Below are 27,212 nucleotides of genomic sequence, written 5' to 3' on the forward strand. Positions count from 1 at the left end.
CGCCGCGGTGGGTGTTGAGAGGCCCGCGAACTGACGGGCCAGTGAGCGGGCGTCGGGAGTGGGCGGATGCGTTGGGGTTCGGGTCGTGGGTGTTGAGGCGGAGAGGAAGGCGTGGTGTGGCGTCTCCAGGTGATTGCGATTGGGGGAAGGTAGAGGAGCCAGAGAACGACTCAGCCGTTTCGGGGGAAGAGGAAGTTGGACAACATCGGCTGTTTTAGTGCTTTTTATTTTTCCCCAATTCAGCAGAGAATATTTTCAAGGGGGGTGAGTTATAATGACCTATCGCGTTTTACTGAGCCCAGTTCCACTCCCGCCCTTCCTTGGCTTTGTAGGGTCTCCCCTCCGCTCCCTCGGAAGCGCTTCTAAGAAGGTGGGCAGAGGGGGGGAGGTTTGCTACCAACAGCTCATGAATAATTCATGAGCCCCGCCCTTCGTCAGGAAGCCCCGCCCCTCCGGATCGCGCTGACGCACGCTGCGTTTACCAAACTTAAGGAAGCGACGTCACAGGCCCAACCCCTAAGACGGGGGGCGGGGCGCCAGTTTCAGCACGTGCTGCCTCTACCCGCGCAAGCCCAAAAGGGTGTGCGCAGGCGCTGCCCACTAGGGGGGAGGAAGGAGGCGGGGTGGGGAGGTTGTTGGATTTAGAGCCGGGCGGAGACCGCTGAGACTCATTCCTCAGGAACAAGGGTCGGGTGTCAAGGAGACCTTTTCACACCAGCTCCCGTCCCCCGCCTACGGTGGGTGGGATCGCGCGGCAGAGACAAAGGAGATCAGTAGGGCCGGACATAGCTGCGCAGGGAAGTAGGGTGTCAGTTTGGGGTGGTGGGCTTTTGCGGGGGCTGTGGGGGGGTTATATTTAAACTCCCAGAGCCGTTAAGTTGGTTCGTAGTCTGATGCGCGCGCAACCAGGGTGGTGGCGGAGTGCGCATGCGTGGTTCCCGGGCGAAGGGAACGCGCGCTCACCGTGCGCGCTCGCGGCCGGGTGGTAGTGGCGGAGGAGAAAGGGGTCGGCGCACGCGCGGTTGAGTCCTCGAGTAGTTCGGGTCTCGCGGGCCTCTTGTTTTGGTCTCGCGGGCTAGTAGGGCGCACTTGGCGGGGAGGCGCTTGGGCGCGAGACTAGGCGTGAAGAGCAGAGCTGCGCGCGCACTCGGGAAAGGGGGGAAGGGAGCAGGGTCCAGGCAGGGGGGGTTAGGCCCCCTGATCCCCCTCGTTACCCCGACTGGCACGGAATAAGGGGAGGAAATGATCGAGATGGCGGCGGAGAAGGAGCCGTTTCTGGTGCCGGCCCCGCCGCCGCCGCTCAAAGATGAGTCGGGCGGAGGGGGCGGCCCCACGGTGCCACCGCACCAAGAGGCCGCCTCTGGGGAGCTCCGCGGCGGGACGGAGCGTGGTCCGGGTCGTTGCGCGCCATCTGCGGGGTCCCCAGCCGCTGCGGTCGGTCGGGAAAGCCCCGGGGCCGCGGCCACCTCCTCCAGTGGTCCCCAGGCGCAGCAGCACCGAGGGGGCGGCCCCCAGGCGCAGTCGCATGGGGAGGCCCGCCTGTCGGATCCCCCGGGGCGAGCCGCTCCCCCGGACGTGGGGGAGGAGCGCCGGGGAGGGGGCGGGACAGAGCTGGGTCCCCCTGCTCCTCCTCGACCCCGCAATGGCTATCAGCCCCACCGGCCACCTGGGGGGGGCGGGGGCAAGAGGAGAAATAGCTGTAATGTAGGGGGAGGCGGGGGAGGCTTCAAACATCCGGCCTTCAAGAGGCGCAGGCGGGTGAATTCGGACTGTGACTCTGTGTTACCCTCCAACTTCCTCCTGGGGGGCAATATCTTTGATCCCCTGAACCTGAATAGCCTCCTGGATGAGGAAGTGAGCCGCACTCTCAACGCGGAGACCCCTAAGTCATCCCCCCTTCCGGCCAAAGGGCGAGATCCGGTGGAGATCCTCATCCCCAAAGATATTACTGACCCGCTCAGTCTCAATACTTGCACTGATGAGGGCCATGTAGTTCTTGCTTCGCCACTCAAGACTGGTCGGAAGCGGCATAGACACCGGGGACAGCACCACCAGCAGCAGCAGGCAGCCGGAGGGAGTGAGAGTCACCCCGTGCCGCCCACAGCCCCTCTCACCCCCTTACTCCACGGGGAGGGCGCCTCACAGCAGCCGCGGCACAGGGGCCAGAACCGGGATGCCCCCCAACCCTATGAACTCAACACAGCCATCAACTGCAGGGATGAAGTGGTGTCTCCCCTTCCATCTGCTCTGCAGGGTCCCTCAGGCTCCCTATCAGCCCCTCCAGCTGCCTCAGTTATCTCTGCACCCCCATCTTCCTCCTCCCGACATCGCAAACGTCGCAGGACTTCCAGCAAGTCGGAGGCAGGGGCTAGGGGTGGAGGCCAGGGTTCCAAGGAAAAGGGCCGAGGGAGTTGGGGAGGCCGCCACCACCACCACCACCCACTGCCTGCAGCAGGCTTCAAAAAGCAACAGCGCAAGTTCCAGTATGGGAATTATTGCAAATACTATGGGTACCGCAATCCTTCCTGTGAGGATGGGCGCCTTCGGGTGTTGAAGCCTGAGTGGTTTCGGGGCCGGGACGTCCTAGATCTGGGCTGCAATGTGGGCCATCTGACCCTGAGCATTGCCTGCAAGTGGGGCCCGTCCCGCATGGTGGGCCTGGATATCGATTCCCGGCTCATCCATTCTGCCCGCCAAAACATCCGACACTACCTTTCCGAGGAGCTGCGTCTCCCACCCCAGACTTTGGAAGGGGACCCGGGGGCAGAGGGTGAGGAAGGGACCACCACCGTTCGAAAGAGGAGCTGCTTCCCAGCCTCGCTGACTGCCAGCCGGGGTCCCATCGCTGCCCCCCAAGTGCCCTTGGATGGAGCGGACACATCAGTCTTCCCCAACAATGTTGTCTTCGTCACGGTAAGAGGGTCCAGAGGCTCTTGGAATAGGGGCCAGGTGTGAAGATGAGATTAAATGGGAATGTAGCAGGGAAGGTTATGACCCAGATCCTCAAAAGAGGGGTCTGGGTTGGCAAGTGAGAGCCTCTGCTGGGCGTCTCTCCCCTCTTATAACCTGGAAAGGTGGGGTGTCTACCTTGGGGCATTGACCCTGGAGTCCTTTGTCATGACTGCAAGGATCTCCAAGATAGAGGAGGACTCTCTTTTTGCTCTGCTCCCGGCTTGGCCTATAATCCACACTGGTCCACCTTCCCTTCCCTTGAAGGCTGCTGCTCACTAGGGAATTTGATCCAGGTGGAACTTGGTCCTCAGATTTACTGAAGGAGCCTGAGAATGGGAGTCAGACATGGAATGTCTTCTAGGGAGGAGATTAGGGTAGCGACAGACTAATACTGGCGTTTCTGCCCTTTGATAGCCACCTTGCTCCTATCAGCGGCTTTTGTTTTCCTAGACAGTTTGTTGAAGCGTGTCAGGAACCCAAGTGGTTTGGCTGTAGATCCTCTCCACATTGACCCTAGATAGTGGGAGAGGGAAGAACCAGAAACTCCTCTGCAGAGAGGAGAGAGTCCTGTGCCCTGCAGAGTCCCCTGACTGCACACAGCTCCCCAGAGAACACTCCAGTTAGGCTGCCTACTGGGATCTTTGGCATTGTGTTGGGTTAAGCCTGAAGAATGGTCTTTTTAGAGGGTTGTGATGAGCTGAGCTTCTAGAAAAGGCTTCCTAAAGGATGTGGCTCTTCATTTCTCTCAGAGAAAGGAAAGAATAGGCCTGAAACTTTGCCAGCCCCAACTGCAGGGAAGGAACCACAGGTCTGCCTTTGAAACCTGGGTTAGTTACCCTTGCAGAACCTGCAGTCACTCCACTTAATGTCTGTGAGTGAGAATAAACACAGGATATGGTCCTGGGACCCTAGCTTTGGAAGACTTCATGGATAATTTGCACCATTTAAAATTACTCAGGCTCCGTCGACCTTTTTTGGCTTACCACCAGTAGGAAGAAGCAGAGGCAGGAAGGTGTAGAGGAGAAAACAAAACTCAAAGAGGGCAGGCACCTTTTGGGAGTTAGTCTGAGAAGAAAGTGGCCACGGGCTAAAGTGAGGCCGCGGGACTGTATCGGCCTCAGAGCAGGTTGCCTGGGAGCAGGGGTTCTTTGATTCCCTCAGTTGACCTCACTGCCGATTCTTGCCCTCAGGGTAATTATGTGCTGGATCGAGATGACCTGGTGGAGGCCCAAACACCTGAGTATGATGTGGTGCTCTGCCTCAGCCTCACCAAGTGGGTGCATCTGAACTGGGGAGACGAGGGCCTGAAGCGCATGTTTCGCCGGATCTACCGGCACCTACGCCCTGGGGGCATCCTGGTCCTAGAGCCCCAACCCTGGTCGTCGTATGGCAAGAGAAAGACTCTTACAGTGAGTTGGGTGTTGGGGGAATAGTCATTCCTTTGGTTGAGGCAAGAAAAGGCCCCGAGGTGGGCATCGCCCTTGGCCAGGGGAGGCGGCAGCGTGCTGAAGTGGTCCCTTGCCTCTCTCCTTAGGAAACGATCTACAAGAACTACTACCGAATCCAATTGAAGCCAGAGCAGTTCAGTTCCTACCTGACATCCCCAGACGTGGGCTTCTCCAGCTATGAGCTTGTGGCCACACCCCACAACACCTCTAAAGGTAAGGCTGGTTTATTTTGTCAGGGAGGCTGGTCCTGGCTGAAAGAGTGCAGACCCCCATGGGGATTCTTGAGGTGCTGCCAACCCCTTCTGATCACTCTCTCTCCCCTCAGGCTTCCAGCGTCCTGTGTACCTGTTCCACAAGGCCCGATCCCCCAGCCACTAAGTGGCCCCCTAAACAGAAAGTGTGAAGAGGCTGCCCTCGCTGCTCATAAGGACCTGGGGGAAGAGGAAAGTGTCCCAAGGTCTTTCCTTTCTGACTCCAAAAATAGTTTCCTTTCTTGGATCTGCAAAGAAAGCTTTTCTTCCGTCGCTGCCTCAGCCTCCTCCCTATGCCTCTGGCACCTGCGCAGCAAGGCTGGCTGTGCTGGAGTCACCATCATCTTCCTCTCCCCCAGCCTCCCAGGCTGGATGGCATGGACTGTTTGCTGACCTCTGTTCTCTTAGGGCATGGGAGGTGGGAGGATATCAAATTCTCTAGCCCTTTCCTCCTATTCTCCCAAGGAGAGAGATTCCCATTTCTCCTCGGCCATTGTACCTAGCTCTTGTCCCTAGCTGCATTTCAGTGGACCATGGATAGAGGGACTGAGGGTTAGACGGGGAAGACTGGCAGGGAGGCACGCAGGTACTGTGAAAATCCTTCCCTTTGCCCTCCCCCAGTGGGAGAGGGGGTTGGGTTTTCAATGTGAGAACAGCACAATAAACTTGATGTCTAGGGCAGTGGCCCCCACACCTGTCTCGGTACTGTCTAGCTGGTGGGGGATGGGTGGTGCCTCCCACCAGAACCTGTGCTGTTTATCTTCCATCTCAAGGAAGACACGTTTTTCAGTGGTTGAGCTGATTGTTGAACACTAGTCAAGTCCACACGCAAGTACACAGAAGCCTAGTCAGGAAAAGGTGTGTAATGCAAATTTTGGTGTGGAACTTGGAGTCTGCCTTCCCTCCCCAGAAAAACCCCGTAGACGTTTTGGGCAGAAGGCTAACTTTTTGGTTTTTGTTTTTCTGAGATGGAGATTTGTTCTGTCGTCAGGCTGGAGTACAGTGGTGTGATCTCGGCTTACCGCAATATCCGCCTCCCAGGTTCAAGTGATTCTCCTGCCTCACCCTCCCAAGTAGCTGGGATTACAGGCACGCGCCACCATGCCCAGCTAATTTTTTGTATTTTTAGTAGACACGGGGGTTTCGCCATGTTGGCCAGGCTGGTTTCAAACTCCTGACCTCAGGTGATCCACCCGCCTCGGCCTTCTAAAGTGCTGGGATTACAGGCGCGAGCCACTGCACCTGGCCAGAAGGCTAACTTGGAAAGAGTTGACGGTGGAGGTAGGCAAAAGTGCTTTGGATCAAATGCCCAGGGACGGGCCAGCACCTTTTTTGTGCTGTGGAATCAGACTTACAGGCAATTAACAACATGAAGCTCTTCGGGGGCTTGTTAGGTGTTACTGGAACTTCGAACATACTGAGTATTCAGGTCAGGTGTAAACAGGATGGGCAAGGCTCTTAAAGGTAAAAAGCAAGGAGATAATTTCAGTAACTCAGTGCAGACAGCTGGCTTGCAAGCTCCTTGAGACAGGTAATCATGGAAGGTTTTCGTGAAGTGTGATAGGCTGGGCTCTGCATTTTGAGAGATCAGAATAAGTGATGCAGAGAACAATCGCTACCTGATCAAAAACAGGCAGTAGCTGTGGCTGAAGTCAGGGAGAGGCAGGTAAGGTTGTGAACGGAGGGGTATCTAAGTAAACCTCTAACGTGGACAGTGTTTTCCACTTGCCATGACTCTACCAAGTTCCAAAAAGGCCCCCAAACCCGACTTCCAGGCAGCTTCCAACCTGAGGCTAAGTGGATAACCCCCTAGAGAGCTTTTAACCCCATTTTAGGCCTCCAAGAAGAGTCCCATTTATTAGCAAAATTACTTTATTCTAACAAATAGTTTAACACAAAAATACGAACTAGCCCTCCAGGGATCTTTGGGGTCTACGCTTCCCATCGCCTCAGTGTCCGGTGCATGAGGAAGGTGTCCTCTGAAGGGCGGGGCCGGAGTTGAAGTCGGAGAGGGGGCAGACCGTCCAGGGTCAGGTGTGGAGATTCATAAAATAGCGTTTCTGGGTCACACAAGATGGTCATGTCTGGCCCAGGCCCAGGTGGCTCCTGTTGGGAGGTTGGGCCCAAAGCAAGGTTACACTTTGGGAGGAAGGATCCGGGTAAGGGGGTACATGGAGGAAGCCCCACGCCCAGACCCCATCACCTTTGGGTGCGGGGCTCGAGCCTGTGGCGGCAGGAGAGCCAATTTCTCCCTGAGCGCGGCATTCAGAACCTGTTCCTCCGGCACCTGCAGGCTCACCAGGTCCCGGAAGAGCCGCTTGGAGCGCGGCACGTTCAGCCCTGAGAGCGCAGCGGGGACGGAGGTGAGTGGCGCGCCTCACCCCGACTCCCGCACGCGGCCGGCCGCCCGCCCCCCTCACCCTCGGACACGCTCTCCTCCAGGCCGCAGCGGATCTGGAACGACTTTCTCAGCTGTTCCTCCACGGCCTTCGCAGCATCAAAGTGGCTCCCGGCTGCGGCCCGCAGCTCCAGGCCCAAGGCCAGGCTGCTCTTCAGCACGGGCATCTCCAGCTCCTGCGGCACCGCAGGCTGCGGCTCGGACCGCACCGGGGAGGGCGGCGTCAGGCGGAAGCGGACCTGGGAGCAGAGGGCAGGGCAGTGACCAGGTGGGCGCGAGGCCGTCGCGGGCCGGGGGCCAGCCTCCCCCGCTCACCTGCCGCCGCTGCCGAGCCGCGCCCCGCCGCTCCGCCCGCCCCTTCCGCCGCCCGGGGCTGCCGTGCCGCGGCTGAGGGCTGTCGGGCCGCGGGCTCAGGCTCAAGTCCAGGCCGGGCTCGGGCACTGGGGCTCGGAGTTGCGGGACTTGGGGCTCCGGGGGTGGCCCCGGGACCGCCGCGGCTTCTTCCCCGTCCGCCGACTTCAGCTCTGACTCCCCACAACCCATCATCATCTTTGGAGGTGCCTTGAGGGTGCGGGGATGCGGGGGTCGCAGACGCTCCAACGGTCAGGGGACACAGCCTGGCTGCCGCCTCCTTTCCCCCGCCCCTCCTAGACGCCGCTACCGGAAACCGTTAACCCTTTCCTTCGGGGGCGGAGTCAGCAGCCCCACCCACCCTGTTGTCGCTCCCAGGCGTCATTTCCCTCGCTCCGTCCCCAGGTTTCCGGCAGGCTTCCGCACTCACAGCCTTGGCACCGCCCCCAAGCCGAAGTGTTGGAAGCACTCACAGCCTTGGCACCGCCCCCAAGCCGAAGTGTTTTTGAGCTGGGGTCGGTTGAAGCCCTACGGGTCCTCATCAGGGCCACTCCTCCTCTTGAAAACTCTGCTATGGCTGAGTTACCCAGAGGAATCTTAGTCCTGCTAGCGCTGCGATGCCCATTGCCCAGTGTGTCAGTCCTCATTCTGGGGCGCCAAATGGGGCAGCATTTTTTTTTTTTTTTGAGACTGAGCCTCTCTCTGTAGCCCAGGCTGGAGTGCAGGGGCGCGATTTCGGCTCACTGCAACCTCCGCCTCCCAGGTTCAAGAGATTCTCCTGCCTCAGCCTCCTGAGTAGCTGGGATTACAGGCGCGCGCCATCACGCCCGGCTAATTTTTGTATTTTTAGTAGAGACGGTTTCACCATGTTGGTCAGGCTGGTCTCGAACTCCTGACCTCGTGATCCGCCCACCTCGGCCTCCCAAAGTGCTGGGATTACAGGCATGAGCCACCGCACCTGGCCATAAATGGGGCAGCTTTAAGGTAACGGTCCAGTGTGCCCTGACCTCCCACTCAGACCTGCACAGCATTTCCGGTGTTCCGTTGCCTCCAAACTCGGACCGGAGTTGGCCTGTATGAGTGCGGGCGAGGGTCGCCGACCCCATCCCGGACTCCCTTCTGGGACACAGCAACTCTTGCAGCTTTTTGTGACTACTTTTACCTTCGAGAGTTCCCTGAAATATTAATTTGTATAAAAAGTAGATATCTGGCACGGGTGCGGTAGCGCATACCTGCAATTCCAACTCTGGGAGGCCAAGGCGGGAAGATGTCTTGAAACCCTGAGCTGGAGACAAGCATGGGCAACATACCGAGACTCCACACCACCATTCCCAATCTCTACCAAAAGAATTTAATTTTAGCCGGGCGTGGTGGTGGTGCTCACCTGTAGTCCCAGCTACTGGGAAGGCTGAGGCGGGAGGATCACTTGAGTCCAGGAGTTCCAGGCTGCAATGAGCTCTGATCATACCACTGCGCTCTAGCCTGGGCGACAGAGCAAGACCCTGTCTCAGAAACAAACAAAAAACTCTGTATTGTGGGTTCAATGTTTTATTTTGTTTTTTGAGACGGAGTCTCGCTCTGGTGCCCAGGCTGGAGACTGTGGCACAATCTCAGCTCACTGCAACGTCTGCCTCCAGTGTTCAAGCAATTCTCCCACCTTAGCCTCCCAAGTAGGTGGGATTACAGGCGCCTACCACCACACCCGGCTAATTTTTTTTGTATTTTTAGTAGAGACAGGGTTTCACCGTGTTGGCCTCGAACTCCTGACCTCAAGTGGTTCAGCTGCCTTGGCCTCCCAAAGTGCTATGATTACAGGCAGTAGCCACTGCACCCAGCCTTGAATTCAGTTTTTTTAATTTTTAATGTCAGTGGACTTATCCTGGGCCCTGAGCTTTTCCACATAGCAGAAGACCCCTGAACTGCAGAAAAGGAAATGAGAGCTCCCACCTGCTCCTTAGGTTACTTGGGGCAGGTCCCCTCAATTCTGCAAGTCTCCTTTCATTTTTTGTGTAGAATGTAAGTGGAAGTGGGTTCAGGAATCCTTTCTTACTCTTTTTTTTTTTTTTTTTTTAATTCTCCAAACTGCTTCAAAAAGGTTCAGGAATCTTGAAGCTTTCCTGGAATTGATTGATGCTCAGTCAACAGGCACGTTTGTGTACCACTTTTCATTATGAGTTTCCACATTGTTCATTTTATCTTTCCAGGAAGTGCTGTGGAACATCAGATAGAATGGATAGCACAGCCCAAATTTTACAAAAAGGATTTTAAAGGAAGATCTCAATGGTGGAACACTAGAGGCTTTCCTGCTAAAGTTAAGAACAAGCAAGTATGTCTATTATCTCATTGTTCAATTGTGAAAAGAAATAGCGAGGTACAAATATAAATTTTTAAACTGGGAGTATAAATTAAAAATTTTTAATAGCGACATAGGAGGGAGAGAATAGAATGAAAGACAAACAGTCTTATTCCTCCAAATATACTTTGTTTTGTATATTTGACTTTGGAAATGTATGCATTTTATATGATTATATTAAAAGGTTTTAAAAAATCAGGCCAGGCACAGTGGCTTACACCTGTAATCCCAGCACTTTGGGAAGCCCGGGTGGGTGGATCACTTGAGGTCAGGAGTTCGAGACCAGCCTGGCCAGCATGGTGAAACCCCGTTTCTACTAAAAATATAAAAATTAGCCAGGCGTGGTGGTGCACACCTGTAATCCCAGCTACTTGGGAAGCTGAGGCACAAGAATCGCTTGAACCCAGGAGGCGTATGTTGCAGTGAGCTGAGATCGTGCAACTGGACTCCAGCCTGTGTAACAGAGCAAGACTCTGCCTCAAAAAGTAATAGTAAAATAAAATACAAATACAAAAAAATTAGCCGGGTGTGGTGACAGGTGCCTGTAGTCCCAACTACTTGGGAGACTGAGTAGGCCAGTCACTGGAACTCAGGAGGTGGAGGTTGCAGTGAGCCAAGATTGTGCCACTGCACTCCAGCCTGGGTGACAGAGCTAGACTCTCTGTCTCAAAAAACAAAAAACAAACAAACAAAAAAAACTAATAAATCATGCTGTATTTTACCTTAAATTGAAAAGTATCAAGACTGAGCACAGTGGCTCAAGCCTGTAATCCCAGCACTTTAGGAAGCCGAGGCAGGCAAGTTGCCTGAGCTCAGGAGTTCAAGACCAGCCTGGGCAACATGGCAAAACCTCGTCTCTACTAAAAAGTACAAAAAATTAGCCAGGCATGGTAGCACGTGCCTGTAGTCCCATAGTCCCAGCTACTCAGGAGGCTGAGGCATGAGAATCACTTGAACCCAGGAGGCGGCGGTTGCAGTGAGCCAGGATCTCGCCACTGCACTCCAGCCTGGATGACAGAGTGAGACCCTGTCACAAGAAAAAAAAAAGTTGGGGTTCGGAACAGTATTTGAGGGTACATGGATAAAACAAGATTAGCCAAATGTTGATGACTGCTGAAGCAGGATTTTATTACTATATTTTCTCTACTTTTGCATATTCTTGAACATTTCTGTGACTAAACGTTTTTTGTTTATTTAAAAAAAGAGGCTGACGCAGTTTTGGCATGCAGGAAGTGTTGGAGCTGAGACTCGAAACTGTCCCCCAGGCCTTGGCCATGCTGATAAATATCTAGGCCCTACAGGAGTTCGTGTCCATGAACCCAGTAAACGCAATTCCTCAGCCTTAAAATCTAGTCACTGACTCATTTCAGGCCCCAGCACAGACGAAAACAAGCCATTCTGTTTGCCCAGTTTACATTGCGGGTCTCCAAGAAGTGGAATGTTCACCAATGATTTTAAGAAAACAGGGCCTGGCGCGGTGGCTCACGCCTGTAATCCCAGCACTTTGGGAGGCCGAGGCAGGCAGATCACCTGAGGTTGGGAGTTTGAGATCAGCCTGACCAACATGGAGAAACCCCATTTCTACTAAAAATACAAAATTAGCCGGGTGTGGTGGTGCATGCTTGTAATCCCAGCTACTCAGGAGGCTGAGGCAGAATTGCCTGAAGCTGGGAGGCGGAGGTTGCAGTGAGCCAGAGATCGTGCCATTACATTCCAGCCTGGGCAACAAGAGCAAAACTCTGTCTCAAAATAATAATAATAATAATAATAATTAAAAAAAAAAAAACAGTACGAGTGTGAAGATCGGAAGGTGGAGGTGAGGGAGGTGAGAGGTCTTGGGCCTGCCCACATTCTTCCTAAGCTATTTTGGCTGGCCCAGGCTGGGAGGCCAGGAATTGCTTTTCCTCTTCAAAAGAAAAGGGGACAAAAAATTAGCTGGGCGTGGTAGCACTCATCTGTAGTCCCAGCTACTCAGGAGGCTGAGGCAGAAGAATTGCTTGAACCGGGGAGGCAGAGGTTGCAGTAAGCTGAGATTGTGCTGCTGCCCTCCAGCCTGGGTGACAGAGCGAGACTCGGTCTCAAAAAAAAAAAAAAAAAAAATGGGGAGGAGGACAGGGCATGGTGGTTCATGCCTATAATTCCAGCATTTTGGGAGGCCAAGGCAGGCAGATCACTTGAGGCCAGGAGTTCGAGACCAACCTGGGCAACACAGTGAAACCCTTTCTCTACTAAAACTACAAAAAATTACCTGGGCATGGCAGCACATGCCTGTAATTTCAGCTACTCGGGAGGCTGAGGCATGAGAATCACTTGAACCTGAGAGGGGGAGGTTGCAGTGAGCCAAGATGGCACCACTGCACTCCAGCCTGGGCAACAGCGTGAGACTCTGTCTCAAAAAAAAAAAAAAAAAAAAAAAATGGCTGGGACACCGTGACTCATGCCTGTAATTCCAGCACTTTGGGAGGCAGAGGCAGGAGGATCCCTGTGAGGCCAGGAGTTCAAGACCAGCCTGGGCAACATAGTGAGACCCAGTCTCTATAAAAAAATTAAAAATTAGCCAGGCGTGGTGGTGTATTCCTGTAGTCCCAGGTACCGGGGAGGTTGAGGTGGGAGGATCCCTTGAGCCCAGGACTTCGAGGCTGCAGTGAGCTATGATCACGCCACTGCACTCCAGCCTTGGCGACAGAGCAACACCCATCTCTTAAATATTATTTATTATAAGGCTTTTGGGCTGGGTGCTGTGGCTCACGCCTGTAATCCCAGCACTTTGGGAGGCCGAGGCGGGCGGATCACGAGGTCAGGAGATTAACACCATCCTGGCTAACACGGTGAAACCCTGTCTCTACTAAAAATACAAAAAATTAGCCGGGTGTGGTGGCATGCGCCTCTAGTCCCAGCTACTCAGTAGGCTGAGGCAGGAGTATGGCGTGAACCTGGGAGTCGGAGCTTGCAGTGAGCCGAGATCGCACCACTGCACTCCAGCCTGGGCAACAGAGCGAGACTCCGTCTCAAAAAAAAAAAAAAAAAGACTTTTGATTGGGTTAGACCTCACCAGTTAGAGATGCTCCTTTAGTTATCTGAGGCTGCTGAGTGGGGTAATCCTAGACCTGGATGCTAGTTTGAAGAAAGCAAGTCTCAGTGCTGGAAGGGGTCATTCAAGGTCATCCATGAGCTTCTGCTGAGCCAGGTGCTATAGGTGGGCTAGGTGGGACAGGAGACAGGTCAGCATCCAGGGTCCTTGAAGGGACCATGTCCTTAAGAAGAGGTAGGATGCCTCCAATGCAGTGGTCCACTGCACGGTGTGGCTGAGACTGCTACAGAGGACACATGGGAAGACCTGCCAGGGTTGGGGGTGGGGGAGGAGCAAGGGCGTCATCCTGGAAGTCACCCCCAAATAGGGCCAAGAAAGATCAGAGAGACAGCAAAGCTCTAATACCACCCTCTGCAAACCCCACCTATGGCGACCTCTCACCTCCTGTCTCCTATTCTCAAACTGGCCTATGCCTAAGGGCCAACCCAGAGACACTTCCACACTGGTCCCTGTCACACGAGACACGCTGGAAGATGGGAATGGCCAACCTCCAGACACACACACATCCAGGCTCCTATCCCCAGAGTGCGTGTTCTCATCCTACTGCATCTCGGAGGCTGGCAGGGTGAATCCCCCAGCAGGTCAGGTAGGTCTGAGGTGTCTCAGCCTGAACTCATGACTCCAAACCACCTTCACGCCTTCGTCCCAACCCAGAAGGAAGAGATCCAGGGAGGAGGGCACACATCGGGCTGCAGGCCAACACACTGACCCTGAGCCTGGCCTCCCCAGCATCAGGCTGAGGAACAGGAGGGTTGAGATGAGCCCCATTAGGTATGTGTGAAGTCTCTGGGACATGGGATGATGCCAGCTGCTGGGATGCAGAAAAGTTGGAGGCAGGGGACAGAGTCTCATTCAAAAGAATTTGTCCATAATCCAAGCTGGGTGTTGTGGCTCACGCCTATAATCCCAGCACTTTGGGAGGCCCAAGCAGATGGATCACTTGAGGTCAGGAGTTCAAGACCAGCCTGGCCAACATGCTGAAACCCCGTCTCTACTAAAAATATAAAAATTACCCGTATGTGGTAGCCCAGGCCTGTAATCCCAGTTACTTGGGAGGCTGAGGTGGGAGGATTGCTTGAACCCAGGAGGTGGAGGTTGCAGTGAGCCCAGATCATGCCACTGCACACCAGCCTGGGCAACAAAGCGAGCAAAGCGAGACTCCATTTCAAAAAAAAAAAAAAAAAATTTTAGCTGCGTGTGCTGGCACATGCCTGCAAATCCCAGCTACTCCGGAGGCTGAGGCATGAGAATCACTTGAACCTGGGAGGCAGAGGTTACAGTGAGCCGCCAGCAACTGTATCTCAAATAAATAAATAAATAAATAAGAATTTGTCTGGAATCTGGGTGAGGCAGAGGAAAATGAAAGAAACCAGAAAAGCAAAGATAAACAGATTTGCAGGGTGGGGTGGAGGATGGAGAATTCAATGGAGCTGAGCACAGCAAGGAGGAGAATGTTGGGCTGAAGGCCTGAGCTTGCTGGGGAGATGTCCTTGATGTCCACACTGGGCATAGAAGGTTGATTGATGCCAGTGGTTAGGGTCCCAAAGAGCCCAGGGACAGCTGGAGGTAGAAAGAAAGGGTGTGGAGGCACGGAAGATGGGCCCATAACCCAGGAAAAGGGAGCCACAGATAGGGGAAATGTATGCAGAAATCGCCACCCTCACTCTGGGAGGCAGGTCCCGACAGATCCCCTTAGCAGGGGACCAATGCCCAGGACCTTGGGGAGATGGTTGGGGACGGGGGAAGCAGCAGATGGTCTGTTACTCAATGAGCACACAGGAGATGTTGGGGGGTCTTGGGGTGGAGAGTGATTCCATGGAAGCCTCTGGATTGGACAAGGAGATGTTGGTGTGAGGTTTTTCCACAGTCCAAGAGAGGCGATTGGACAAGGAGATGTTGGTGTGAGGTTTTTCCACAGTCCAAGAGAGGCTGGTAGAAGAAAAGCAGGTTCTGCTATCAGGCCGGGTGCAGTGGCTCACACCTGTAATCTCAGCCCTTTGGGAGGCCCAGGTGGGAGCATCACATGAGGACAGGCATTCGAGAGCAGCCTGGGCAAGATGGTGAAACCCTGTCTCTACAATAAAAACACAAAAAAATTAGCCGGGTGTGGTGGTGTGCACCTGTAGTCCCAGCTACTCAGGAGGCTGAGACCGGAGGATCACTTGAGCCCAGGAGTTCAAGACCAGCCTGGGCTGGTCAAGACCCCATTTCTAAAAAAATTTAGCCAGGCATGGTGGTGTATGCCTGTAGTTCCAGCTACTTTGTTGGCTGAGGCAGGAGGGTCCCTTGAGCCCAGGAATTTGAGGCTGCGCTGAGCTATGATTGTGCCACTTCACTCCAGTCTGGGTGACAGAGCGAGACCCTGTCTCTAAAAATAAATAAATAAGCCAGGCGCAATGGCTCATGCTTGTAATCTCAGTACTTTGGAAGGCCAAGGCGGGAGGATCACTTGAGCCCAGAAGTTGGAGACCAGGCTGGGCAACATAGAAAGACCCCATCTCTACCAAAAATTTAAAAAATTATCTGGGTGTGATGGTGCACACTTATAGTCCCAGCTACTCAGGAGGCTGAGGTGGGAGGATCACTTGAGCCCAGGTCAAGGCTACAGTGAGTTATGATCACACCACGGCACTCCAGCCCGGGCAAAAAGCGAGACTGTCTCTAAACAAATAAATAAATAAAAAGCCATTTTTTTCACATATGAATGGACTCCTGGGAATGCAAGCTTGGAAATGGGGAGGCCGAAGCCCTTGCCTCTCTGCCTCCTCGCAGCCCTGGCCCGTCTCTCGTCTGTCTCCCTGGGTTTCAGTCCCAGCTCCAGTGCCTACTGACCATGTGACCTGGGGATCATTCCCTTTCCTCTGAGAGCCCCCCTCTTCCTCATCTGAACACTGAGGAAATGACTGGCCTCATATGGTTGCCAGAGCTCAGTTGGGGCCCTCAGAAGGTCGAGTCATTGTTTTTCAGGAGCTGATGAGATCATGGCACGTGTGCCATTGACCTCTGTCCTTCCTCCCTCCCCACCTTTGACTCAGCCTGTCCTCTCCTCCTCTGGACGACCTCTGGGACATCCTGCCCTTTTCCCGTGTTCATTGTTTCTGCAGCAGATGAGCAGGATGTCGGGGATGCTGGGAAATGAAAGGCCCCTGGTCTCTCTGCCGGTAGGCTCTGAGGCAGGGGGTTCAGACCCTCTCGCCTCGGGCTCCTGCTGGCTGGCCCCACACGTGCCCCCTCCAGCCCCAGCCCTGCTCAGTGGAGAAAACAGATAAGGCAGGAAATGTGGCCCCAGTTCTAGGAAGCTCAGAGTCCCAGGAGGCAGAAGACATGCCTCTCACCCGCTCACTGACACCTGCTATTTGCTGGGGCCTGGGAGTGGCATGGACAGCTCTGAGTGGGGCCAGCTTTCACCCTCCCAGGGTGCAGCATGAACTCTAACATCCAGGCCAGGCCAGGCTCCAGGAAAGAGGATGCAAAACTTCATGCAGCCTGTGCAGATTAAACACCAGCCCCAGCTCTGTGAAGGGTAGGTCAGCTCAGCCTGGAGGATGGGAAGGCTTCCTGGAGGAAGAAGCCCTTGAAGGAAGTAGGTGGAACAGAAACTTGCTGTTCTCCTCTCTGGGAGTCTGAGACTGCCCTTTCTTTTTTTTTGAGACAGAGTCTCACTGTGTCTCCCAGGCTAGAGTGCTGGAGTGCAGTGGCACAATCTCAGCTCACTGCAACCTCTGCTTCCCAGTTCAAGTGATTCTTCTGCCCCAGTCTCCCAAGTAGCTGGGACTATATAGGTGTACGCCACCACACCTAGTTAATTTATGTATTTTTATTAGAGACAGGGTTTCGCCAAGTTGGCCAGGCTGGTCTTGAACTCCTGACCTCAGGTGATCCGCCTGCCTCAGCCTCCCAAAATCCTGGGATTACAGGTGTGAGCCACCATGCCCAGACTGCCTGCCCCTTTCTGTCTCTGTCTCAGGCCAGTTCAGGTCTGAGCAGGGCAGTTTTGCTCAGCTTCACTGACCAGGTGAGTGTTGCTCACGATGCCCTCCAGACCCTTTGCCTTCCTCTAGATTTTTTTTTTTTCAAGTTTTATTTTTTTCTTGGAGACAGGGTCTCGCTCTGTCACCCAGGCTGGAGTGCAGTGGCACGATCATGGCTCACTGCAGCCTTGACCTCTGGGGATTAAGCGATCCTCCCACCTCAGCCTCCTGAGTAGCTTGGGACTACAGGCACATGCCACCACACCCAGGTAATTTTTTTTTTTTTTTTTTTTTTTTTGTAGAGGCAGGGTCTTGCCATGTTACCCGGGCTGGTCTCAAACTCCTGGGCTCAAGCAATCCTCTGACCTGGCCTTCCAAAATGCTGGGATTGCAGGCTGGGCCTGCCTTCCTCTAGAGGGCAATGGGTACCATAGCTCACACCTGTAATCCCAGCACTTAAGAGAGCCCAAGGAAGAAGGATCACTTGAGGCCAGGAGTTTGAAACCAGCCTGGGCAACATAGAGAGACTCTGTCTCTACAAAAATAAATAAATTAAATTAAATTTTAAAAAAGAGACTTAACCTCCCTGATGGGGCCCCACCAGCCTGGGTCATGACTCACCTCTGCTTCCCAGCAACCTCCTTCCTGATCCCCAAATCAGAATTCAGGAGGTCTAGGATGTAGTATGTGGCAATCTGTACAATTTCAGCAGTCACAGGAAACAAACACAGCTGAACCTCCCTGAGGGTCTTCCCCGAAACCTTCACCTTGGCAGTATCCCCATCTCTGGGGGGCTGGAATCAGAGGGTCTGGGGACCCACGAGGGAAGGATTTGGTCATGAAGGACTATCTTCCCCTGAGAGAGCCTCTACAGGCCCAGAGAGTTGCCAAGGGAAACAAGGGCAGAGGCAGGAGGAGAGAGGTCAGGTGGTGTGAGACAGGTGGAGAGTCAGAAGCCCTGGTATGGGAGCGGGGTCCATCTGTGTGGGGAACTAGATGGGGTACCATGGTTAGGGGAGGTCTTGTTGTGTGAAGGAGCTGGTGGGGAGGGACTATGTCCAGCAAGGCCCATTCAGTGGCCTCAGACCTCATAAGCTCCGGGGGTGGCCACACAGTTGGTCAGCCATCATGATCCGCAAGTGTCGAGTTGCCATGGCAGCCAGGAAGCATGCATGCTCAAGAAGCTGAGGCTGGGATGGCCAGGCATGGTGGCTGACGCCTATAATCCCAGCACTTTGGGAGGCTGAGGCGGGCGGATCACAAGGTCAGGAGATCGAGACCATCCTGGCTAACACGGTGAAACCCCATCTCTACTAAAAAATACCAAAAAATTAGCTGGGCATGGTGGCGGGCACCTGTGGTCCCAGCTACCCAGAAGGCTGAGGCAGGAGAATGGCATGAACCCGGGAGGCAGAGCTTCCAGTGAGCCAAGATCGCGCCACTGCACCCCAGCCTGGGCGACAGAGCGAGACTACGTCTCCAAAAAAAAAAAAAAAAAAAAAGAAGAGAGAGGAAAAAAAAAAAAGAAGCTGAGGCTGGAGCCGGGTGTGGTGGCTCACACCTGTAATTCCAGCACTTTGGGAGGCCAAGGCGGGCGGATCACGAGGTCAGGAGATCGAGACTATCCTGGCTAACACAGTGAAACCCTGTCTCTACTAAAAATACAAAAAAATTAGCCGGGCGTGGTGGTGGGCGCCTGTAGTCCCAGCTACTCGGGAGGCTGAGGCAGGAGAATTGCTTGAATCCAGGAGGCAGAGGTTGCAGTGATCCGAGATCGCGCCACTGCACTCCAGCCTGGCAACAGAGCAAGACTCTCTCTCAAAAAAAAAAAAAAAAAAAAGCTGAGGCCTTTGACACTGAGCTTCAGGAGACTGAAGACTAGGCTGAGGCTGGTGTGGTGGCTCATACCTGTTATCCCAATGCTTTGGGAGGCTGACCTGGGAGGATCACTTGAGGCCAGCAGTTCAAGACCAGCCTGGGCAACACAGTGAGACCCCGTCTCAAAAAAGAAGAAAAGAGCCAGGCGTGGTGGCTCACACCTGTAATCCCAGCACTTCGGAAGGCTGACGTGGGCACATCACCTGAGGTCGGGAGTTCAAGATCAGCCTGACCAACATGGAGAAACCCCATCTCTACTAAAAATACAAAATTAGCCCATTGTGATGGCGCATGCCTGTAATCCCAGCTACTTGGGAGGCCGAGGCAGGAGAATCGCTTGAACCCAGGAGGTGGAGGTTGTGGTGAGCCGAGATTGCACCATTGCACTCCAGCCTGGGCAACAAGAGTGAAATGCCGTCTCAAGGAAAAAAAAAAAAAAGAAGAAAAGAAGCTTAAGGCCAGGCACGGTGGCTCACGCCTTTAATCCCAACACTTTGGGAGGCTGAGGCAGGCAGATCACTTGAGCTCAAGAGTTCGAGACCAGCCCCATCTCTTCCAAAAATACAGAAAATTAGCCAGGCTTGATGGCACATGCCTGTAGTCCCAGCTACCTGGGAGGCTGAGATGGGAGGATCGCTTGACCCCGGGAAGCAGAAGTTGCAGGGAGCTGTGATTGCACCACTGCACTCCAGCCTGGGTGACATGCAAGACACTGTCTCAAAAATAAAATAAATTATGGCCGGGCGTGGTGGCTCACGCCTGTAATCCCAGCACTCTAGGAGGCAGAGGCGGATGGATCACCTGAGGTCAGGAGTTCGAGACCAGCCTAACCAATATGGTGAAACCCCATCTCTGCTAAAAATACAAACATTAGCCAGGTGTGGTGGCGTGCGCCTGTAGTCCCAGCTACTCAGGAGGGTGAGATAGGAGAATCGCTTGAACCTGGGAGGCAGAGGTTGCAGTGAGTCAAGATTTCACCACTGCACTCCAGCCTGGGCGACAGAGTGAGACTCTGTCTCAAAAAAAATAAATAAAAATAAATAAAATAAATAAGGCCGGGCCCGGTGGCTCATGCCTGTAATCCCAGCACTTTGGGAGGCTAACTAAGGTGGTAGATCACCTGAGATCAGGAGTTTGAGACCAGCCTTGCCAACATGGTGAAACCCCGTCTCCACTAAAAATACAAAAATTAGCGGAGTGTGGTGGCAGATGCCTGTAATCACAGGTACTCGGGAGGCTGAGGCAGGAGAATCGCTTGAACCTGGGAGGCAGAGGTTGCAATGAGCCGAGATCACGCCACTGCACTCCAGCCTGGGCAACAAGAGCGAAACTCCTTCTCAAACAACTAAAAACAAAACAAAACAAACAAATAAATAAATATTAAAATTAAATAAAATATAGCCTAGGCTCAAAGCAGAGCCCTGAGAATCAGGGCCCAGTCCCTTCCCCACAAGTTACTACCACAGACACACCTTGCCAGTCCTTCAACCTGAGAAAAACCTCGAAATGCCCCACACTTTTTCTACTGGCCCCCAGGCTGAGGAAAGGCCAGGGCACAGGGAGTGTTTTGTAGAGATGAGGTCTGGCTATGTAGCCCAGGCTGGCTTCAAACTCCTGGGCTCAAGCGATCCTGCCACCTTGGACTCCCAAAGTGCTAGGATTACAGGTTTATTCCAAAAGTGCTAGGATTTCAGGTTATCCTGAAAACAAAGGGACGACAAGGGGTGGAGGCTGGGTTAGTTCTGGGCTAGAGGGATAGAGTGGCTGCAGGTGGAACCCGGGGGGCCGGGCAGGATGCGAACTTGGTGGGGAAGGAGGGTTTCCACACCAGTGTGTCCTGGCCAAGAATCGGATGAGGCAGGATTTGTTTTGTTGAATTTTGTTTTGTTTTGAGACAAGGTCTTGCTCTGTTAACCAGGCTGGAGTGCAGTGATGCAATCACAGCTCACTGCAGCCTCTAACTCCTGGACTCAAGCAATTCTCCCACCTCAGCCTCCCAAGTAGCTGGGACTTTTAGGTGCATGGCACTATGGCCAGTTAATTTAATTATTATTTATTTTTTCTTTTCTTTTCTTTTCTTTTTTTTTTTTTTTGAGACGGAGTCTCATTCTGTTGCCCAGGCGGAGTGCAGTGGCGCAATCTCGGCTCACTGTAACCTTTGCCTCCCGGTTTCAAGCGATTCTCCTGCCTCAGCCTCCTTAGTAGCTGCGATTACAGGCGCCCACTACCATGCCCGGCTGATTTTTGTATTTTTAGTAGAGACAGGGTTTCACCATGTTGGCCAGGTTGGTCAGGAACTCCTGATCTCAGGTGATCCACCCTCCTCCGCCTCCCAAAGTGCTGGGATTACCGGCGTGAGCTACCGCACCCGGCCTAAAATTATTTTTTTTAGAAATAGGGTCTCATGGTTGGGCGCAGTGGCTCACGCCTGTAACCCCAGCACTTTGGGAGGCCAAAGCAGGTGGATTATTTAAGGTCAGGAGTTCCAGACCAGCCTGGCCAACATGGTGAAACCCCATCTCTCTACTAAAAATACAAAAAAATGAGCTGGGCGTGGTGGCACATGCCTGTAATCTCAGCTACTCGGGAGGCTGAGGCACGACAATCGCTTGAACCTGGGAGGTGGAGGTTGCAATGAGCCGAGATCGCGCCACCGCATTCCATCCTGGGCGACAGAGCAAGACTCCGTCTCAAAAAAAAAAAAAAAAGCGACAGATGGGGTCTCACTATATTGCCCAGGCTGGTCTTGAACTCCTGGGCTCAAGCAGTTCTCCCTACCTTGGCCTCCCGAAATGTCAGGATTACAGACATGAGCCATCATGCGCAGTGGAGAAGCTGTTTTCACTAGAAACTAACCGTCCCGTGGAAGCAGTGTCACCAGTGCCCATTTTATGCTCTGGAGACCCTTTAGTGTTTAAGAATCCATCCGCTAATGTCGGCTCCCCCATCGGCTAATGTCGTAGGGGTGCTGGGAGGAGCGGCAGAGCCCGCGGTCAGGGTCTCCGGGGGCTCACATAGGGAGGTCTCTCTGTTCCCGGCTATGGCCTAGAGCCCCTCTAGCAGTTCCTCCACCACCCCCATTAGGCCGTAGGGGCTTCCCCAGCCAGAGGCCAAGGGCGACGCGACCTTAACGCCGGTCCGCGCACCGCGGCGCCACCTGGAGGTCAGGACCAAGACGAGACAGGCTGTTCAAGTCCCCCAGCTTCGCCGCGGCCGCCACGCCCGACCACCCGGCCCCCGCTGGCGTCCCTAGCTGGCCCCCTACAGGTCTTACCCGCGCTTGTTGCCCCCAGACCCAGGCTTCTCCCCACCTGCACCCACCAGACTGGGAAGGTGGCCAGACTAGACCGAGGGCTGAGGCGGGAGAGACTCCGCCCCCGAGGCCCCGCCCCCTTCTGACAGCAGACGAGGCTGACGTCACTGGATTGGGCAGGTGTCCAGGTGTCCTCTCTCCAGCTGCATCTCCCCTCCTCCACCCAAGGGGAGTCCTCAGTCCCCCAGGCCAGAGTCTCCAATACCCCAAGGTGCCTTCTGTGATCTCCCCGCAGTGCAGCCTCCGGGGCACCCCCCACCCCAATAAAACTCATCTCCGGTTAAAATATCGATTCCAGCGGGCGTGGTGGCTCATGCCTGTAATCCCAACACTTTGGGAGGCCGAAGTGGTCAGATCACCCGAGGTCAAGAGTTCGAGACCAGCCTGGCCAACATGGTGAAACCCCGTCTCTACTAAAAATATAAAAATTAGCCGGGCGTGGTGGTGCACGCCTGTAATCCCAGCTACTCTGGAGGCTGAGGCAGGAGAATCGCTTGAACCCGGGAGGCGGAGGTTGCAGTGAGCCGAGATTGTGCCACTGCACTCCAGCTTGGGCAACAGAGTGAGACCCCATCTCAAAAAAAAAAAAAAAAAAAGGATTCCCAGACCCCACCTCAGTTTCTGACTTTGAGGCCAAAAATCTGGTTTTTGTTTTGTTTTGTCTTGTCTGGTTTGAGACAGGCTCTCGCTCTGTTGCCCAGGCTGGAGTGCAGCGGCATCATCATGGTTCACTGCAGCCTCAAACTCCTGGGCTCAAGCCATCCTCCACCTCAGCCTCCCGAGCAGCTGGGACCACAGGCACATACCACCACCACCAGCAGCTACTTTTCTTTTTTGTCTGTTTGTTTTGTAGAGATGGGGTCTGGCTATGTAGCCCAGGCTGGCCTCAAACTCCTGGGCTCAAGTGATCCTGCCACCTTGGACTCCCAAAGTGCTAAGATTACAGGCATGAGCCACCACACCCAGTTGGAATCTGTGGGTTTTTTTTTTTTTTTCAGACGGAGTCTTGCTCTGCTGCCCAGGCTGGAGTGCAGTGGCTTGATCTCGGCTCACTGCAACCTCTGCCTCCCAGGTTCAAGCGATTCTCCTGCCTCAGCCTCCCAGATAGGTGAGATTACAGGCACCTGCCATCATGCCCAGCTAATTTTTATATTTTTGTAGAGACAGGGTTTCACCATGTTGACCAGGCTGGTCTTGAACTCCTGACCTCAGGTGATCCACCCGCCTTGGCCTCCCAAAGTGCTGAGATTACAGGCGTGAGCCACCGTTCATGGCCTGGAATCTGTGTTTTTTTTTTCTTATTTTATTTTTTGTTTTTGTTTTATTTTTTTGAGACAGAGTCTCGCCCTGTCACCGGGCTGGAGTGCAGTGGTGCAATCTCCACTCACTACAACCTCTACCTCCCGGGTTCAAGCAATTCTCCTGCCTCAGCCTCCCAAGTAGCTGGGACTACAGGTGAGTGCCGCCACGCCTGGCTAATTTTTCGTATTTTTAGTAGAGACGGGGTTTCACTGCGTTAGCCAGAATGGTCTCCATCTCCTGACCTCGTGATCCACCTGCCTCAGCCTCCCAAAGTGCTGGGATTACAGGTGTGAGCCACCATGCCCGGCCTGGAATCTGTGTTTTTAACAAGCTCTCAGGAGATTGTGATATGTCCTAAGCTTCAGAATCCCAACAGTCTACATTCCCATGCAGTGTGGCAGTGATTCCCAAACTTCAGCAGGCGTGTTCAAACAGATTGCTGGCCCCCATCCTAGGGTTTTTGATTCAGTAGGTCTGCGGTGCAGGGCCTGGAGTTTGAATTTCTACTACTCTCTGGGGAATGCGATGCTCTGGTCCAGGACCACACTCTAATAACTATTTCATTTATTTTCCTTTTTTTTTTTTCTTGAGACAGAGCCTTGCTTTTGAGACAGAGATTCAGACAGGTTAATTCACTTGCTGAAGGTCACACAGCCAGGAAAGGCAGAATTTGAACCTGGTCTTTGTGAGCCCAAAGGCTGGGCTGGTTCTGTCTCCGGCAACTGCTAGTTAGCACCTCCCAGGAACTTACCTTGTTTCTGCAGGTTAACTCAACACTCCCTGAAGCCTGAGGAAGTTTGTTATTTTTATTTTTATTTTTTGAAGACAGAGTCTGATTCTATCGCCCAGGCTGGAGTTCAGTGGCGTGATCTCAGCTCACTGCAACCTCTGCCTCCCAGGTTCAAGCAATTCTCCTGTCTCAGCCTCCCGAGTAGCTGGGATGACAGGTGCGCGCCACCATGCCCAGCTAATTTTTTTTTCTTTTTTTGAGATGGAGTCTCACTCTGTCACCCAGACCAGAGTGCAGTGGCAAGATCTCAGCTCACTGCAAGCTCCGCCTCCCAGGTTGACACCATTCTCCTGCCTCAGCCTTCCAAGTAGCTAGGGCTACAGGTGCCGGCTACCACGCCCAGCTAATTTTTTGTATTTTTAGTAGAGACGGGGTTTCACCGTGTTAGCCAGGATGGTCTCGATCTCCTGACCTCGTGATCCTCCCACCTCGGCCTCCCAAAGTGCTGGGATTACAGGCGTGAGCCACCATGCCCAGCCAATTTTTGTATTTTTAGTAGAGGGTTTCGTCATGTTAGCCAGGCTGGTCTCGAACTCCTGACGTCAGGTGATCCACCCACCTCAGCCTCCCAAAGTGCTGGGATTACAGGTGTGAGCCACTGTGCCCAGCCATCAAGTCATCATTTTATTTAAGGAGCTTGAGTCTCAGTGAAGGAAAGTGACTCTCAAAAATCACCAAGTGCCTGCGATCCCAGCCCTTTGGGAGGCAGAAGCAGGAGGATTGACCAGGAGATGGAGGCTATAGTGAGCTATGATTGTGCCACTGTCCTCCTGTCTGGCCAACTGAGCGAGACTCTGTCTCAAAAATAAATAAAAAATAAAAATAAGAGTCGTACAGCAAAGTAGTAGCAATATTGAGACTAGGACCAAGGTCTCTTGACTCCGCATCAAGGGCTCCTCCTACTACTTCCTGCACATGGTATTCTTTATCACTTCCAAAATGACATTCCTAGCTGGGTGCAGTGGTTCACACCTGTAATCCCAGCACTTTGGGAGGCCGAGGTAGGAGGATTGCTTGAGGCCAGGAGTTTGAGACCAGACTGGGCAACATAGCTAGAACCCATCGCCACAAATATTAAAAAAGAATTAGCTGGGCATGGTGGCATACACCTGTAGTTTCAGCTATTCGGGAGGCTGTGGTGGGAGGATCGCTTGAGTCCAGGAGTTGGAGGCTGCAGTGAGCCATGATTGCGCCACTGCCCTCCAGCCTGGGCAACAGAGCCAGACCCTGTCTCTAAAAAACAAAAACCACTGGCCGGGTGCAGTGGCTCACGCCTGTAATCCTAGCACTTCGGGGAGCTGAGACAGGTGGATCATCTGAGGTCAGGAGTGCAAGACCAGCCTGGACAACATGGTGAGACCCTGTCTCTACTAAAAATACAAAAGTTAGCCGGGTGTGGCCAGGCGCGGTGGCTCATGCCTGTAATCCCAGCACTTTGGGAGGCCAAGGCAGGCGGATCACGAGGTCAGGAGATCAAGACGATCCTGGCTAACATGGTGAAACCCCGTTCTCTACTAAAAATACGAAAAAAAATTAGCCGGGCGTGGTGGCATGTACCTGTAATCCCAGCTACTCAGGAGGCTGAGGCAGGAGAATGGTGTGAACCCGGGAGGCGGAGCTTGCCGTCAGCGGAGATCATGCCACTGCACTACAGCCTGGGTGACAGAGTGAGACTCTGTCTCAAAAAAAAAAAAAAAAAAACCAAAAAACAAAAACGGTTACATGGGTGTGGTGGCAAGCACCTGTAATCCCAGCTACTCCAGAGGCTGAGGCAGGAGAACCACTTGAACCCCACGGGCGGAGGTTGCAATGAGCCGAGATCACACCACTGCACTCCAGCCTTGGCGATAGAGTGAGACTCCATCTCAAAAAAACACACAAAAAAACTGTCATCAAGAGGCAGCTTCCTTCTGCCCACCCCTTTCCTTCCTCTCCCACAAGTCTGCCTGTGCCTGCTCAGCCAAGCCTAGACAGGGCTCCAGATCTGGGGAAGGAGAGAGTGATGGGATGTGCCTTGGTTGCTGGCTGAACCCACCTTCCTTAATTTCCCTTCCACTCCCAAGAGCTGAAGAAGCCAAAGACAAACGAGAGCAGTATTCCTTTCCACAAGCCCACAGCGTCAAGCCTGGATGAGCTCCTGGGCCTGTAGCTACTTGCAAGGCTATTTTACCAGTGACCCTCAGAGGCCCAGCTTCGTCCTACTCTCCCCTCCCCTCCTCTCACTGAAACCTCAGGTCCCCAGCGATGAGGAGCTCATCTCTAAAGACTCGGAGGGGCTGATCCCGGATGTTAGACAGCTAGGTACTACTCCAAACCTCAGGACCCATTAAATCTCAGGGCTTCCTGGGACTCAGATCCTGCACCAACACCATTCACCCCCAGAAGGGTTCCTGGCAGATAATAGAGACGTGATGAATAATTGGTGATTGAAAACTCCAGACATGAGCTGCTCTTTATTAGTCTGTTTTGAGGCCCCGCCTGAAAACCTGAAAGCAGGCTTTGACTTTAGGCTTCACTCAGGACTGATTCCCAGTGAAGTCACTTAACTCATGTGTTGAACACCTGCTGTGTAACATGTGCAGAATGAAAGCTACATGACCTTTCTTTTCTCTTTCTTTTTTTTTTTTTTTCTGAGATAGAGTCTCACTCTGTTGCCCAGGCTGGAGTGCACTGGTGCAATCTCACCTCATTGCAACCTCTGCCTCCCGGGTTCAAATTATTCTGTCTCAGCCTCCCAAGTAGCTGGGATTATAGACACATGCCACCACACCCAGCTAATTTTTTGTATTTTTAGTAGAAACGGGGTTTCACCATGTGAAAAAGATGTTTTAAGAGATAAGGTCTTGTTATGTTGCCCAGGCTGGTCTCAAACTCCTGAGCTCAAGCAATCCTCCCGCCTCAGTCTCCCAAGGTGCTGGGATTATAGGCATGAGTCACCGTGCCCGGCCTTGCTGTTGCTTTTGTGAAACAACCCTGCTTTTTCCTGGAGAGCCACCTCTGCACCTTCATGTGGCTTGGCTACTCCGAGAGGGGACCTGAGGCTGCTGGGTCTCCCTTCTTGTTGTCTCCGTTGCCCTCCAACCTCCTTCCAAATTGCCACAGCCTCCCTCTAGG

At 53.5% G+C, this 27,212-nt stretch overlaps 2 protein-coding genes and 1 long non-coding RNA gene across 9 annotated transcripts, besides 14 other annotated features; 2 read left to right on the plus strand and 1 right to left on the minus strand.

Annotated features, from left to right (window-relative positions):
• Window positions 1-13: 13 nt before the first annotated feature.
• Window positions 14-5,342, plus strand: MEPCE (methylphosphate capping enzyme). Of its 5 annotated transcripts, none has more exons than NM_001194990.2 (5): window positions 14-264; window positions 1,839-2,913; window positions 4,143-4,361; window positions 4,487-4,613; window positions 4,726-5,342. In NM_001194990.2, the coding sequence occupies exons 2-5, from the start codon at window positions 2,650-2,652 to the stop codon at window positions 4,776-4,778; spliced, it is 663 nt and encodes a 220-aa protein (NP_001181919.1). In that variant the 5' UTR covers window positions 14-264; window positions 1,839-2,649; the 3' UTR covers window positions 4,779-5,342. The 5 variants fall into 5 exon arrangements, with proteins under 5 accessions (NP_001181919.1, NP_001181920.1, NP_001181921.1 ...); NM_001194991.2 differs by having other exon boundaries at window positions 2,254-2,913; NM_001194992.2 differs by having other exon boundaries at window positions 14-129; window positions 2,254-2,913.
• Window positions 865-1,004: an enhancer, noted in NCBI's record as "active region_26364". NCBI's record gives its function as "activates an Ori minimal core promoter by ATAC-STARR-seq in GM12878 lymphoblastoid cells {active_cell/tissue: GM12878}" and the evidence as "EXISTENCE:reporter gene assay evidence [ECO:0000049][PMID:35858748]".
• Window positions 1,275-1,744: a silencer, noted in NCBI's record as "silent region_18432". NCBI's record gives its function as "represses an Ori minimal core promoter by ATAC-STARR-seq in GM12878 lymphoblastoid cells {active_cell/tissue: GM12878}" and the evidence as "EXISTENCE:reporter gene assay evidence [ECO:0000049][PMID:35858748]".
• Window positions 1,875-1,954: an enhancer, noted in NCBI's record as "active region_26365". NCBI's record gives its function as "activates an Ori minimal core promoter by ATAC-STARR-seq in GM12878 lymphoblastoid cells {active_cell/tissue: GM12878}" and the evidence as "EXISTENCE:reporter gene assay evidence [ECO:0000049][PMID:35858748]".
• A 1,163-nt stretch (window positions 5,343-6,505) lies between the features above and the next one.
• On the minus strand, window positions 6,506-7,922 carry PPP1R35 (protein phosphatase 1 regulatory subunit 35). 3 transcript variants are annotated; one of them, XM_011515914.2, is made up of 4 exons: window positions 7,762-7,922; window positions 7,072-7,288; window positions 6,855-6,991; window positions 6,506-6,757 (listed from the first exon to the last, which is right to left on the minus strand). In XM_011515914.2, exons 1-4 carry the CDS (start codon window positions 7,783-7,785, stop codon window positions 6,584-6,586), a joined length of 552 nt encoding a protein of 183 aa, XP_011514216.1. In that variant the 5' UTR covers window positions 7,786-7,922; the 3' UTR covers window positions 6,506-6,583. The 3 variants fall into 3 exon arrangements, with proteins under 3 accessions (XP_011514216.1, NP_659467.1, NP_001333867.1); NM_145030.4 differs by lacking the exon at window positions 7,762-7,922 and adding an exon at window positions 7,365-7,721; NM_001346938.2 differs by lacking the exons at window positions 6,855-6,991; window positions 7,762-7,922 and adding an exon at window positions 7,365-7,721.
• Window positions 7,041-7,520: a silencer, noted in NCBI's record as "silent region_18433". NCBI's record gives its function as "represses an Ori minimal core promoter by ATAC-STARR-seq in GM12878 lymphoblastoid cells {active_cell/tissue: GM12878}" and the evidence as "EXISTENCE:reporter gene assay evidence [ECO:0000049][PMID:35858748]".
• Window positions 7,808-8,311: an enhancer, noted in NCBI's record as "H3K4me1 hESC enhancer chr7:100034207-100034710 (GRCh37/hg19 assembly coordinates)". NCBI's record gives its function as "activates a minimal SCP1, AML or CMV promoter by ChIP-STARR-seq in naive H9 embryonic stem cells {active_cell/tissue: H9 hESC(naive)}" and the evidence as "EXISTENCE:reporter gene assay evidence [ECO:0000049][PMID:30033119]".
• On the plus strand, window positions 7,892-11,101 carry PPP1R35-AS1 (PPP1R35 antisense RNA 1). The gene is made up of 3 exons (NR_187540.1): window positions 7,892-8,384; window positions 9,605-9,726; window positions 10,958-11,101. It is a non-coding gene; the product is annotated as a PPP1R35 antisense RNA 1 (long non-coding RNA).
• Window positions 7,981-8,160: an enhancer, noted in NCBI's record as "active region_26366". NCBI's record gives its function as "activates an Ori minimal core promoter by ATAC-STARR-seq in GM12878 lymphoblastoid cells {active_cell/tissue: GM12878}" and the evidence as "EXISTENCE:reporter gene assay evidence [ECO:0000049][PMID:35858748]".
• Window positions 8,312-8,814: an enhancer, noted in NCBI's record as "H3K4me1 hESC enhancer chr7:100034711-100035213 (GRCh37/hg19 assembly coordinates)". NCBI's record gives its function as "activates a minimal SCP1, AML or CMV promoter by ChIP-STARR-seq in naive H9 embryonic stem cells {active_cell/tissue: H9 hESC(naive)}" and the evidence as "EXISTENCE:reporter gene assay evidence [ECO:0000049][PMID:30033119]".
• Window positions 15,057-15,741: an enhancer, noted in NCBI's record as "H3K27ac-H3K4me1 hESC enhancer chr7:100041456-100042140 (GRCh37/hg19 assembly coordinates)". NCBI's record gives its function as "activates a minimal SCP1, AML or CMV promoter by ChIP-STARR-seq in primed H9 embryonic stem cells {active_cell/tissue: H9 hESC(primed)}" and the evidence as "EXISTENCE:reporter gene assay evidence [ECO:0000049][PMID:30033119]".
• Window positions 15,057-16,496: a biological region, named in NCBI's record as "CRISPRi-validated cis-regulatory element chr7.3510". NCBI's record gives its function as "regulatory_interactions: PPP1R35".
• Window positions 15,542-16,395: a transcriptional cis regulatory region, noted in NCBI's record as "candidate enhancer chr7.3510 targeted for multiplex CRISPR interference". NCBI's record gives its function as "positively regulates PPP1R35 gene expression in K562 cells {active_cell/tissue: K562}" and the evidence as "EXISTENCE:mutant phenotype evidence [ECO:0000015][PMID:30612741]".
• Window positions 15,742-16,426: an enhancer, noted in NCBI's record as "H3K27ac-H3K4me1 hESC enhancer chr7:100042141-100042825 (GRCh37/hg19 assembly coordinates)". NCBI's record gives its function as "activates a minimal SCP1, AML or CMV promoter by ChIP-STARR-seq in primed H9 embryonic stem cells {active_cell/tissue: H9 hESC(primed)}" and the evidence as "EXISTENCE:reporter gene assay evidence [ECO:0000049][PMID:30033119]".
• Window positions 16,337-16,496: an enhancer, noted in NCBI's record as "active region_26367". NCBI's record gives its function as "activates an Ori minimal core promoter by ATAC-STARR-seq in GM12878 lymphoblastoid cells {active_cell/tissue: GM12878}" and the evidence as "EXISTENCE:reporter gene assay evidence [ECO:0000049][PMID:35858748]".
• Window positions 17,700-18,200: an enhancer, noted in NCBI's record as "H3K27ac hESC enhancer chr7:100044099-100044599 (GRCh37/hg19 assembly coordinates)". NCBI's record gives its function as "activates a minimal SCP1, AML or CMV promoter by ChIP-STARR-seq in naive H9 embryonic stem cells {active_cell/tissue: H9 hESC(naive)}" and the evidence as "EXISTENCE:reporter gene assay evidence [ECO:0000049][PMID:30033119]".
• Window positions 22,014-22,113: a silencer, noted in NCBI's record as "silent region_18434". NCBI's record gives its function as "represses an Ori minimal core promoter by ATAC-STARR-seq in GM12878 lymphoblastoid cells {active_cell/tissue: GM12878}" and the evidence as "EXISTENCE:reporter gene assay evidence [ECO:0000049][PMID:35858748]".

The sequence above is a fragment of the Homo sapiens genome, chromosome 7 (assembly GCF_000001405.40).
Source record: "Homo sapiens chromosome 7, GRCh38.p14 Primary Assembly".
In the NCBI taxonomy this organism is placed as follows: Eukaryota; Metazoa; Chordata; class Mammalia; order Primates; family Hominidae; genus Homo; species Homo sapiens.

Excerpts from the sequence above, each read along its gene's own strand:
- MEPCE (NM_019606.6), top strand. The coding sequence starts at position 1,243 with ATGATCGAGATGGCGGCGGAGAAGGAGCCGTTTCTGGTGCCGGCCCCG. Across the intron at positions 2,914-4,142 it reads ACAATGTTGTCTTCGTCACG|GGTAATTATGTGCTGGATCG; the intron begins GTAAGAGGGTCC and ends TCTTGCCCTCAG. Across the intron at positions 4,614-4,725 it reads ACCCCACAACACCTCTAAAG|GCTTCCAGCGTCCTGTGTAC; the intron begins GTAAGGCTGGTT and ends CTCTCCCCTCAG.
- PPP1R35 (NM_145030.4), bottom strand. The coding sequence starts at position 7,598 with ATGATGATGGGTTGTGGGGAGTCAGAGCTGAAGTCGGCGGACGGGGAA. Across the intron at positions 7,289-7,364 it reads CGGCTCGGCAGCGGCGGCAG|GTCCGCTTCCGCCTGACGCC; the intron begins GTGAGCGGGGGA and ends CTCTGCTCCCAG. Across the intron at positions 6,992-7,071 it reads GGAGGAGAGCGTGTCCGAGG|GGCTGAACGTGCCGCGCTCC; the intron begins GTGAGGGGGGCG and ends CTGCGCTCTCAG.